This window comes from Homo sapiens, chromosome 4, assembly GCF_000001405.40.
Source record: "Homo sapiens chromosome 4, GRCh38.p14 Primary Assembly".
Classification (NCBI taxonomy): domain Eukaryota; kingdom Metazoa; phylum Chordata; class Mammalia; order Primates; family Hominidae; genus Homo; species Homo sapiens.
Window position 1 is genome coordinate 76,257,473 of NC_000004.12, and position 12,761 is coordinate 76,270,233.

The 12,761-nt window shown below is 39.9% G+C and overlaps 2 protein-coding genes across 3 annotated transcripts in view; both read left to right on the forward strand.

The window, feature by feature from the left end:
• FAM47E (family with sequence similarity 47 member E) overlaps window positions 1-12,761 on the forward strand; it is a 69,744-nt gene that overhangs the window by 43,433 nt on the left and 13,550 nt on the right. The window contains exons 3-4 of one of the 2 annotated variants that reach the window (NM_001242936.1): window positions 6,232-6,371; window positions 11,188-11,341. In NM_001242936.1, the coding sequence (NP_001229865.1) occupies window positions 6,232-6,371; window positions 11,188-11,341 (294 nt within the window). The remainder of the gene's footprint in view (window positions 1-6,231; window positions 6,372-11,187; window positions 11,342-12,761) is intronic. The other variant, NM_001136570.3, reaches the window with a different exon arrangement.
• Window positions 1-12,761, forward strand: part of FAM47E-STBD1 (FAM47E-STBD1 readthrough) — a 59,410-nt gene that overhangs the window by 5,752 nt on the left and 40,897 nt on the right. The window contains exons 3-4 of the mRNA NM_001242939.2: window positions 6,232-6,371; window positions 11,188-11,296. Of these exons, the coding sequence (NP_001229868.1) occupies window positions 6,232-6,371; window positions 11,188-11,296 (249 nt within the window). The remainder of the gene's footprint in view (window positions 1-6,231; window positions 6,372-11,187; window positions 11,297-12,761) is intronic.

Sequence of the window (12,761 nt, forward strand, 5' to 3'; positions counted from 1 at the left end):
TCTCTCAGAGAAAGCCAGAGTTCTTGCTGGGATCTGAAAGGCCTTGGCATTCTGCTCTCCACAGTACCCCTGTTCTGCTCCCTCTCCAACTTCACCCCTGCTCCTGCCACTCCAACCACTCTGGCCTCCTGGCTGCTCCATCGACATTATGAGCATGTCCAATTCAGCTCTCTGTTCTGGTGCCTGAACACTTGCTCCAGACGGCTGCTTGGCTTACTCCTTCACTCCCTTTAGATCGATGCTCAAATGTCTCCTGATTGGAGAGGCCTGTATAAAATAGCACTTCCCTTCCACCCTCACATCTACTCCTTACTGTGCCCTACTTTTCACTGTAGCACTTGCCACCACTGAGCTCCTCCCACAATGAAAGCTTATAAGGGCAGGGACTTTATTTGTGTCTTTCACTGTGTACCACCAATACCTGTCCTATGGCGGACACTCAATAAATAATTTTGAATGAATGAATAAATGAATGATCGGTGGGAGAGAAGTCTACAGAAAGGACAGCTAGAATTGCTGATCAGTTAATTTCTCTCTGGGGCTTTCCCTCACTGCCTCCTGCAGGCCAGAACTTCTGAGTCCATGACAAAGAGATTGATTGTTTCCACACCTCAGATGGCACATGAGCATGGCTTGGGATTGTGGCGCTTATTTCCATGTGTGACTTCTGCAAATAGGTGTGTTGGCTTCCTGCTGAAGCAGGATCTTTTATGGTGCTAAGGTGGCCATCAGAAGATCCAGGTTTAAGCCCTACCCACTTAGCAACCCCAGCAGAAAGAGAATGCACCTTTTTGCATGATCCCAGAAAACTTCCATAGCCTAATTATCATGGATCCAACTTTGATCATGTGTCTATTCCAAAGTCAGTCACTGTGGTTCTGATTGTTTGGTCGGCCTTAGGAGTGAGGATGGGGTCAGGCTAATTCAGACCATGCAGGTTGAGAGTGGAGAGAGAGGTGGTTCTCCAAGGAAAAATCCAGATATTCATGCGAGGGAAAGTAGACAGTGGGCAGTCAAAAACCACAGAAATCCTTTAGAGGCGCTTCACTCAGTGGGGCATTTGGGGACAGGGGTAGGCCCAGAGACATATTCCATTCTAGAGGAAGTAGAACTTTAGTAAAAGACTGTGTACCCAGTGTCCAGGTGATGGGAGGTTTATCCAAGTGGTGCTGATTATAATCCCAAAAGACATAGTCCCAAACATCATAATCGTGAATGTTGAGATCCCCAAAGTCTAAAATCCCACAAATCACAATCCTGAAAGATTGAATTCCTGAATGTTGAAATCCTGAAAGCCAAATTCTGGGGAAGGGATTAGTGTGTTTTTGGTTGTATGCAGGATAGTTGCATCGTGGTAGGTGGACCTATTACCTTGCTATTGTCCTTATTTGGAAATTAAATATGGTTTAAGGAGATGAGTATAAGTGTCAACCTGACAAGAGGTGGACTTGTGGACTTAATTTTAGGTGTCAATTTGACTGGATTAAGGAATTTCCAGAAACATGGTAAAGTGTTATTTTGGATGTGTCTGAGAGGATGTCCCCAGAGGAGATTAGTATGTGAGTCTGAGTGGAGCAGGCCAGAAAGATCTACCCTCAGTGTTTCAGTGCTTCAGAGATCACAGAGTAAGTGAAAATGCAGGTGAAAAATACAAGAGATCTCCTCTGCCAAATTATTCAATTGTGTACAATTTATGCCTCTTCACATATAACACCGTGGTTGCCTTCGAGCATGTGACACCGTTTGTCAGAGAATTAAAAGAATTTGACAAGCTCAGCAACCTTCTGAACCAGACATTTGCTGATATTGAGATTCCTCCAATGTCATAACCACATAAAATGGTGAACTACTCTTGGTTAAAGATTTGACTGTCAAGAAAGATAGACTTCTTATATTTACCACTAAATCTAACATAGAAAAACTAGTGCGTGTTTCGCTTTGGCTATTGGATGGCACTTTCAAGACTGTCCCTACTTTTTAAAATCAGTGATATACAATTCATGCCCCTGTTGGATCTGGAAATTCTAAAACTTATCTACTTCTTTATATATTAATGACTGGAAACAAATGAAGTATTTTATAATCACTTATTTGAAGATTTGGTGGACTGTGCAGAAGAAAATGGATTTCTTGGAACTCCCAAACCAAAATGACAGGTTTGGAATTAAGTGTAATCAAAGCTTCTAAAAGTGAACCTGAAAGAGTTATCAATAAAAATTTTTTTTCATGTAGTCTAACACATGTGGCAGAAATTCAGATGAATGGATTGGTCATGAGATTTGGCAATGACAGAAACTTGAGTTTAAAAATGAATAATTTCATGATCCTACACCCAGAAAACCTTGAAGATTCATCCAAAAGACTCCTAGACCTGATAAACGACTTCAGTAAAGTTTCAGAATATGAAATTAATGTTCAAAAATCAGTTGTGTCTCTATACATTATCAATGCTGAAGCTGACAACCAAATCAAGAACTCAATATCATTTACAATTGCCACAAAAAACTAAAATACCTAGGAATGCATTTAATGAAGGAAGTGAAAGACCTCCACAAGGGGAACTACAAAACACTGATGAAAGAAATCATAAATGATGCTAATAAATATAAAAACATTCCATGTTCATGTAAAGGAAGAATCAATATTGTCAAAATGACCATACTATCCAAAGCAATCTACAGATTCAATGCCATTCCTGTAAAATTACCAACATAATTTTTCAAATAATTAGAAAAAACAATTCTAAAATTCATACAGAATCAAAAAAGTGTCTGATTAGCCGAAGTAATCCTAAGCAAAAAGAACAAAGCTGGGGTCATCATGTTACCCAACTTCAAACTATACTGCAAGGCTACAGTAACCAAAACAGCATAGTATGGGTACAAAAATATGCCTATAGATTAATGGAACAGAATAGATAACCCAGAAATAAAGCCACACACCTACAACCAGCTGATCTTTGACAAACTTGACAAAAATAAACAATGGAAAAAGGGCACCCTATTCAATAAATGATGCTGGGAAAACTGGCTAGCTGTATGCAGAAGAGTGAAACTGTGTCCCCATCTCTCACCATATACAAAAATTAACTCAAGGTGGACTAAAGACTTAAATGTAAGACCTGAAACTATACAAATTCTAGAAGAAAACCTACAAAAAAACTCTTCCAGACATTGGCTGAGGCAAAGAATTTATGACTAAGACCTCAAAAGCAAATGCAACAAAAACAAAAATAGACAAATGAAAGTTAAGCTAAAGGACTTTGAACTGCAAAAGAAACTATCAACAGAGTAAACAGACAGCAGCCTGCAGAATGGGAGAAACTATTTGCAAACTATACATGTGACAAAGGACTAATGTCTAGAATTTATAAGGAACGTAAACAATTCAACAAGAAAAAACAATTCTATTAAAAAGTAGGCAAAGCCATGAAGTCTCCCCAGGAGGTTAAGGCTGCAGTGATTGCACCATTGCACTTCAACCTGGGTGACAGAGTGTGAGACCCTGTCTCAAAAAAAAAAAAAGTGTACAAAGGACATGAACAGCCACTTCTCAAAAGAAGACATACAAGCAGCCAACAAACATATGAAGAAATACTCAACATCAGTAATCATCAGAGAAAAGCCGATTAAAACCACAATGAGATACGAGATACCATCTCATATCAGTCAGAATAGCTATTATTGAAATAAAAAAAATAACAGATATTGGCAAGGATGCAGAGAAAAGAGGATGCTTATACACTGTTGATGAGACTGTAAGTTAGCTCAACCTCTGTGGAAAACAAGATGGAGATTTCTCAAAGAACTAAAAATAGAACTGCCATTCAACCCAGCAATTCCACTACTGGGTATCTACCCAAAGGAAAAGAAATTGTTTTATCAAAAAGACACCTTCACTTATATGTTTATCACAACACTATCACAATAGCAAAGTCATGAAATCAACCTAAGTGTCCATCAATGATGGATTGGGTAAAGATAATGTGGTATGTATATACCATGAAATACTGTGCAGCCATAAAAAGAATGAAGTCATGTCTATCGTAGCGACATGGATGGAACTGGAGGCCATTATCCTAAGTGAAATAACTCAGAATCAGAAAATCAAATACCATGTGTTCTTGCTTATAAGTGGGAGCTTAACAATGGGTATACATGGTCATAAAGATGGAGATAATAGACACTGGGGCCTCCAAAAAGGGGGGTTAGGAGGGTGTTGAGGATTCAAAAACTACCTATGGGGTACTATGTTCACTATTTGAGTGATGGGTTCACTAGAAATCCAAACCCCAGTATTACACAACATACTCATGTAACACACCTGCACATGTACCCCCGAATCTACAATAAAGAATTAAAAGGTAAAATAAAAAGTTTTTTTTTAAGGAAAAAAATAAACATGAAAACAAGTGTCATTTGTTCGCATTAGCATTCCTTACAGCTGCTGAAATTCCAGGAGCTTTTAATAAATTAAAGCTGCATCTGCCTGAAGAGATCAGTGATATTACTGACTGGTTCAAAAATAATTATAGGATAAGTAAGATAAGAAGATGGTGTTGCTACTGGATCACCAGTATTGTTTCTGCCAACTTTGGGGTCTGTATATGAGTATATGTGGAATGGATTTCCCTATACCCAGAACAACATAGAAGTATGGCACAGAAGAGGGGAAAATGTAATAGGGAGTACTCACGTGAGTGTATATTGAATCACAGAAGAATTTTAAAAAGAGCAGTGCATGTAGAAAATGAATATGAACGTATTCTCCAAGGAGAGCCCTAAAAGAAAAAAAGCAACTATTTACTATGATGCAAGACTTCAAAATATAGTTAATGATCATAAATGCCTGCCAGTTCTTATGGAATACCTCTGTGTAATTGCCCATAATCTATCTCTCTTATACATTTTTTAACATGTTGAATTTTCTTCTTAGCTTTTTTTTAGTGCCCCCCACACTATTTTAAATTGTAAGTGTTATTTTTTACAATTCACTATGTTATGTGTTTCATCTTTGCATCATTTCTAATGCTGGAGATGTACATTGTGTAAAGACTTTTATAGAGCTCTAATTCATTTCATGCCTTTTTTGCAAATTCGACTTCATGAAAATGCATTGTCACAAAACTAACTTTGTGTGTAAGCATTGTGGATTTACATAAAAACATTGAAACTTCATCAATGAATGAAGAGATGTCCTTTTTTGTTCATCTGTATTTGTGAAAGATAACATTTTTTGATATCTTGGTTCTTTGGGTAACTGCACATAGAGTGGTGTCCCATCATGATTGTTTTTTGTTTGTTTTTTTGAGACAGGTTCTCATTCTGTCACCTAAGCTGGAGTGTAGTGGTGCAATTATAGTTCACTGTTACCTCAAACTCCTGGGCTCAAGGGATCCTCTCACCTTAGCCTCCAAGTATCTAGGACTACAGGAGGGCACCACCATGCCTGGCTAATTTAAAAAAATTTTTTAAATAGAAACAGAGGTCTTGCTATGTTGCCCAGGCTGGTCTCAAACTCCTGGCCTCATGCCATCTTCCTGCGTAAGCTTCCCAAAGCACTGAGATTATATGCCTTAGCCACTGTGCCTGGCCCCATTGTGCTTTTTGATTGATTTTGTCAAAAGGCTTAGGTTGTACATCACTGTGTTTCAGATGACTGAAATTATAAAGCAGAGTGCACACAATTGCCAAACATAGTGGTATGCGTTTATACATATCACTTTTTGAGCTATTTCTTCATGAATATGGTTTCCCTGCTCATATTATAGCCATGTGACTGCTAGTACACCTGACTGTTTATGCTTGCAAAACTATGTATATTGTTATTGCCTAATTCGTTGTGTAAAATGGCCAATGAAGTGTTCTCTCATTTTTACATTTCTCAAATAAATCTCCATCTAAAAATTTAAGTGCCTTTAAAATACTTTTTTTGCAATTTTTTTTCAGAATTATAGTTTTGGGATTTTAATTTTGGGGATTGTGATTTTGAGGATTTTAGACTTTAGGGATTATGATCTTTTAGGATTTTAACATTTGGGATTATGCCTTTTGGGATATGGTCCAAATCTATCCATAGCACCCAGCATAATACTTGGCACAGAAGTTGGTGAACAGCACTGATGGACTGAAAAGGAAAAGTGAAGGGCAAGTTGGTCTGTTTTGTTGTAGAATGGGGACTCCCTTCTTCAGCATGTTTTTCTTTTCCTCTAAGACTATTTTCTGTTTGTAGCTCTTATCAAAGGTGCTGGAAGTGCTTGATCCTGACCGGAAGCTGGAGGACACATGGGCTTATTGTCAGGACACCAGGAAAGGAATGAAGGAACCCACGAAGCTTTTAAAAAAACATTCTACCCAAGTCTACCTGGGACCGTGAGTATTGTTCTTAACCCTTCGATCATTGCTGTCACCTGATGAAACATTCTAGGAATTACCTTCTTAAAACTTCTCATCTTTAGAATACTTCTAATGAAGCAAATGTAACTAAGTTCCCAAGGAAGAGGGAAAGGAGTCCTAGGTACCGCTCTAAATAGTGCTTATTTCTTCAAGGGATGTGATTTATCCAGCGACGACGCAGACACAGGCGTCTATAAGGAAATTCCAGAGAGAGTCCCTCCCTATGCTTGAGGGGTAGAAACAGTGAAGGTTAGAAAATCCTTGATTTTGAGGCAGCTTCTAAGGCTTTCCAATTTCCTTTAATTCAAAAGTGCTCAGCATGCCAAAGCACCATACTTTTGGGGTATCATCCTTTGTGCCCCAAGAAATGTCAAGGCTGGAGGGCAGTGAAGAGATCACAACTCACTGCAGCCTTGAGTTCTGGACTCAAATGATCCTCCTGCCTCAGCCTCCTGAGCAGCTGGGACTTCAGGTATGTACCACCATGCCTGACCTAAGCCTTTTTTCTGAGTATAGGTCTACTGCTTGGAGTTTCCACCCATCTTTTTTGCATAAACCATACCTGTAATACTACCTTCATTGACCCTTCTCAAAGCATTAAGCTTAACGAAAGCACCTCCCTTTTGTAACACATTCTTGATTCCCCAGTCAATATAATATTTAATTAAATAACATAAACGCAGTGATAAGTTTACTGGACACAAATAGATTTGGGATACACATTTTTTGTTTGTTTGTTTGTTTTTGAGACAGAGTTTTGCTCTGTCTCCCAGGCTGGAGAGCAGTGGCACAATCTTGGCTCACTGCAACCTCTACCTCCTGGGTTCCAGTGATTCTTATGCATCAGCCTCCCATGTAACTGGGACTGTAGGTGCCCACCACCACACCTGGCTAATCTTTGTACTTTTGGTAGAGGCAAAGTTTCGCCATGTTGGCCAGCCTAGTCTTGAACTCCTGGCCTCAAGTGATCTGCCCACCTCTGCCTTCCAAAGTGTGGAGATTACAGGCATGAGCCACTGGGCCGGGCCTACATTTGACTTTTGAAATTAAAGACCTCACTGATGGGTGCTGAAGAGTACGGTGAACTAGAGAGTAGCCTATCCACAGTACCCAGACACTTAGAGGAGTGTGGACTGTGGTCAGTGTGTTTGGTGGGGGCCATGTAGAGCTTGTTGGTCACACACATTACCTACGTGGAGGTGGATTTAGAGGGAATCTACTGCATTACATTATATATGTTTTTTAGGGTAAGACACAAGGTGAGAGGAACTCTAGTCTTAGGACATTTCTGACTCTTCAGTCCACCTCCTGGTAAATGTAGGAAGGGTAACTGGACGTGCTTGTCTCAGTTCTGCCTTTCCTCCATGAGGAGCAAGATGGCCCATGGGAAGCACAATTTCTCCTTGCTTCCCCATTCTAGAGGGGAGGACTGTCCTGGTCCAGCCTTGCAGGGGACTGGGTGGAAGGGTCTGCCAATTTCTGAGTGTCAGTTAGCAAGTCCTCTTGGACCTAAAGCCATGTCGTCTATCATGGCTGCTGTTATCAGTGAAGGGGATATTTTGGCTACTGTCTTTGCTCTCTGTATTGTTTTTGAAGTTGCTCAGAACTTGGGTGAGGGAGCGAGAGGAGTGTTATATGTAGGGATCTGTGATATAATAAATATATTTGGTCTTTGTCCCCAGTTACTGACACAGGGCTCCTAAAACCCTTGGGATTTCCTGAGTGACAGGAATGCTTTTTGTTATTCATAAGGAGCCCCTTTTAGTCACTGGTGAGTTTATGCTAATGAGGTGCTCAGGTTGAGGCCCCTAGATTGTCTTAGAATGTGGCTGGTCATCAGAAAGACCAAGTGATTAGAGGGTTAGAATGTTCAGTCCCACTCAGTGTGACCTCTCAGAGGGGAAAGAGAGGGGCGTGGCTGAAGATTAAAAACTCTTGAACACATATATCTGATGAACCTCCGGGTTGATGGACACATCCAGGTGCTGGCAGGATGCAAGCGACACCAACTTCCACTCACCAGATAATCTGTCCTTTCCTTTAGAGCAAAATTTTTTGAAAGAGGCATTCATACTCACTTAGTCTTTTTCTCTCCAAACAACAATCAGGCTCTTATCTCCACCACTCCACTGACCTGACCTTAGTCAAGGTCTCCTTTGACCTCTATGTTAACTAAATCAGCTCTCAGGGATCACCATACTTGTTGTATACATAGTAGCAATTGACGTAATTGATCATGTCCTCTTTCTCATAACACTTTCTTTACTTGGCTTCTGGAACATCCCTCTTTCATGGACCTCTCCGTAGTCATCTTTTACTGGCCGCTCTTTACCTTCTAGCCTTGAAGTACTTTGGTCTTTGACGTCTTTTCAGCACGTTTACTCACAACCAAGTGACCTCCTCTGGTCCATCTGTATATGGTTAATTCAGTATTTGTCCTTAGTTGTATAATTGGCATCTCAGACTAGACAAACCCAAAACTGAACTCTTGTTTTCTCCCCCGAACTTATTCCTCCTTCTGTCTTCCCCAGTTCAGTAAATGGGAACCCCATCTTTCCAGTTTTTTTCTGGAACAATAGTTGCAATCTGCCAGCAAATGGTAATGACTTTACTTTTGAAATGTATCCAGAATCTCACCTTCTCCACTACTACCAGTCTATTCCAAGATTCCATCACCTCTTGCCTGGATTGTTGCAATAGCTTACTAACTGGTCTCATGGCCTCCACCCAAGCTCCCCTCTCTCAAGTCTATTTGTCACACAGTAGCTGACATAATCCTTTTAAAAATGTAAGTCAAGTCGTGTCATTCCAGTGCTTGAGATTCTCCAATTGCTTATTTTTCTGAGTAAAATCCAAAGTCCTTACAACTGCCTTCAGAGTACTGTATGATTAGGTCCCTGTCACCTCTCAAGCCTCATCCTCTACTATTCTACTCTTTAATTACTCCGCTCCACGGGACTTTGTGTTCTTTGGACATGCTCAGCACACTCCCAGCTCAGCTCTTTGCACATGCCATTCTTTTCTGTCTGTTATCTGCATGACTTGACATTTACATGGTTTGACCCCTTTCTTCTTTTGGGTCTTTGGTCAAATATTACTTTAATAGAGACAACTTCTCTGTATAAATAAAATGCTCCCTACCATCACTCTCCATCCCCCTCCTGTCCTATTTTACTTTCTCTATATAACTTATAATCACCCGGCATATGTTTGTTTACTATCTGTCTCTCCTATTCAGTTGTATACTCTATGAGGACAGGGGCTTAAGTTTATTTACAGTTCAATTCTAATGCCTGGCACATAGTCTGTGCTTACTGAATATTTGTTGAATGAATGGGTGGATAAATTAATATGAGTGTTATGAATAAAAGGTACAGGGGCTATGAATAAAGAGTAGCTTCAGGGGACAGCTTGTGGGGATGCCTCCCCGAGGAAGGCACATGTATGTTGAGATATGAAGGGGATAAGGAAATGGTGACAGCATTGCAGTCAGATGCAACAGCTCAAGCAAAGGCCCAATGGCTGGAGGGAGCAGCATGAATTCACAGAACTGAGAGAAGGCCACATTGGCTGGAGCTCAGAGAGTAAAAAATGGTGGTGGGTCCCAAAGAACCTGGAGAGCCAGGCCATGCAGAGCCCTGGAGGTTGTGTCAAGATTTAAGTCTTTATTGGAGGAATAGCAAGAGGCTATTGAACACAAAAGCTTGTTCATGAATATCCATAGCAGCATTGTCCTTAACAGGCAAAAAGTGGCAACAGCCCAAAAGTCCATCACCTGGATATGTTTGTGAATGGATAAACAAAAAGTGGTCTATGTAGACCATGGAGTATTGGCCATAAAAAGGAATAAACTACTAATACATGCTACAACATGGATGAGCCTTGAAAACATTATGCTAATTAAGAGAAGCCAGACACAAAAGACTGCATATTGCATGGTTCCATTCAGATGAAATATCCAGAACAGGCAAATCTACGGAGACAGAAAAGTAGGTTAGTTGTTGCCAGGAGCGAGGGAAATGGGGAAATGGTGAGTGATTATTAATGGCTGCGGGGTTTCTTTCGGGGTAATAAAAATGTTCTGGAATAAGATAGTGGTGGTGGTTGCACAACTTTGTGAATATATAAAGGGTACTCTCATACACTTTTGAAGTGGTAAATTTTATGAATTTCATGGTGGATGAATTATATCTCAATTTTTATAAAGAAGCTATTGATGGTGACGAAGCGTGGCTGCATTTGATATGTCCAGAGTTACATTTTGAAATGACTGCTTGGGATGCATTGTAGGGAATGGATTGGGGGTTGGAGGTTGGGGGAGCCATAGGAGTTGATGATGCAGAGACACTAGCATTTTGCAGCAGTCCAGAGAAGGAGACAGTTACAATCTGCCAGACCTTAACTGAGCTGGATTTTAAGAATGTTAGAGAAGTCAAGGATGACTCCTACTTGTCAAGGTTGCCTGAGGCTTTGGTAGACTTCAAGCACAGTAATTTGGGCTTTTACCCAGTACATGTTTTAATAAATGGTACTCAAAATTTAAAAAAATCAACTTATAATGGTAAATGCTATGTAAGTTTTAATTATTATAACTAATCATGATATACTTGTCTTTATGATATTCGTAATGAGAATGTGCTCTTTGAAAAATTAAAATACAATTTGTATGTGAGCTTGCAAGAGACTGTTAGAAATACTTGCTTTATGATTTCCTTTTGCCTCTAAAACTGTTTGAAATCCATTTGGATTCATTGTGTCTCATATTGTAATTCTTTAATGATCTTATCTTTAGTTCCAAGAAGACGTCTGTGTCAAACGCAGGCCAATGGCTTTATGAAGAAAAGCCACATAAAATGGATTTGCTCCATGAAAATGGTCCTCGTCCTGGTCTTCATGAAAATGTATGCAAAGCAGTTAGTGACTTCTGCAAGTGGGTTACTACTTTTGTAAGTTAGTGGTAATATTTAAACCTACTTTTAAATGTCAAGCTCAAAGTTGCTTTTATTAAAAAACAGTATTGGATAAAATCTAAGTCAAATCCTCAAAGTCGTAAAGGAATCATTTTCTTCTATTATGTATAAATAGAAATATTTCTGGTAGATGAAATTTCTGGAAAGGTTGCAAACTTGCTGCTAATTTGAATGTTTATGTTTACATCTCACATCATTGCAGCTGTTTCATATTTTTATTTTCCATTTTATTGTTAGGACTTTCTTTTCTCTCTTTCACTCCTTCAACTCATTTTTCTTAGTTAGATTTACCTAGAAGTACTCTGGCAGGTACTCCTTGATTATAATCTTCACACAAAAATGTTCTGACATGCCAGGTGCAGTGGCTCATGCCTGTAATCCCAGCACTTTTGGAGACTGAGGCGGGCAGATCACTTGAGTTCAAGAGTTCAAGACCAGCCTGGGCAATATGGCAAAACCTTGTCTCTCTTGTATTTTTGTAAAAAATATAAAAATTAGGCCGGGTGCAGTGGCTCATGCCTGTAATCCTAGCACTTTGGGAGGCCAAGGTGGGTGGATCACAAGGTCAGGAGTTTGAGATCAGCCTGACCAACATGGTGAAACCCTGTCTCTACTAAAAATATTTAAAAATTAGTCGGGTGTGGTGGTGTGCACCTGTAATCCCAGCTACTCAGGAGGCTGAGGCAGGAGAATTGCTTGAACCTGGAGGCAGAGGTTGCAGTGAGCAGAGATTGCGCCACTGTACTCCAGCCTGGGTGACAGGGAGAGACTCCGTCTTAAAAAAATATAAATAAATAAATAAATAAAAATTAGCTGGGCATGATGGTGTGCCCCTTCCCACACAGGAGGCTGAGGTGGGAGGATTGCTTGAGCCTGGGAAATCGAGGCTGCAGTGAGCTGTCATCATGCCATTGCACTCCAGCATGGGCAACAAAGCAAGATCCTGTCTCAAAAAAAAAAAAATCTGACATAAAGAGACTTTTGACTCAGTTATCAAGGTCTTCCCTTGTGCGCCTTCCAAGAACCTATATAGTTGCCTATTCCTGTTCCTGAGTCTCTGTAGATGTCTAAATACCTGATGCTTTTCTTGGATTTAAGGTCTTTAGGATTTGCATTCCATGTCCCCACCCCATCTTTTGAGTGTTAGTTTTAGTCAATGTATTTTTTTTAGTACTTTAAACATCAAGCTACTTACTTCATTGGCAAGTGACTTAAATATAATTCAGATTGGTTTAAGAGAGAAAAGGGAAGCATCCAGATATAGTAGGAACTTCAGGCACAGCTGGATCCAGGTGCTGAAATATTTTTAGATGTTGTTCCTATCTTTTGGCTGTGCAACTTGGACTTCATTCTCAATCAATATTTCCCCAAGAAATGGCAAAAGTAGCCACTAAAA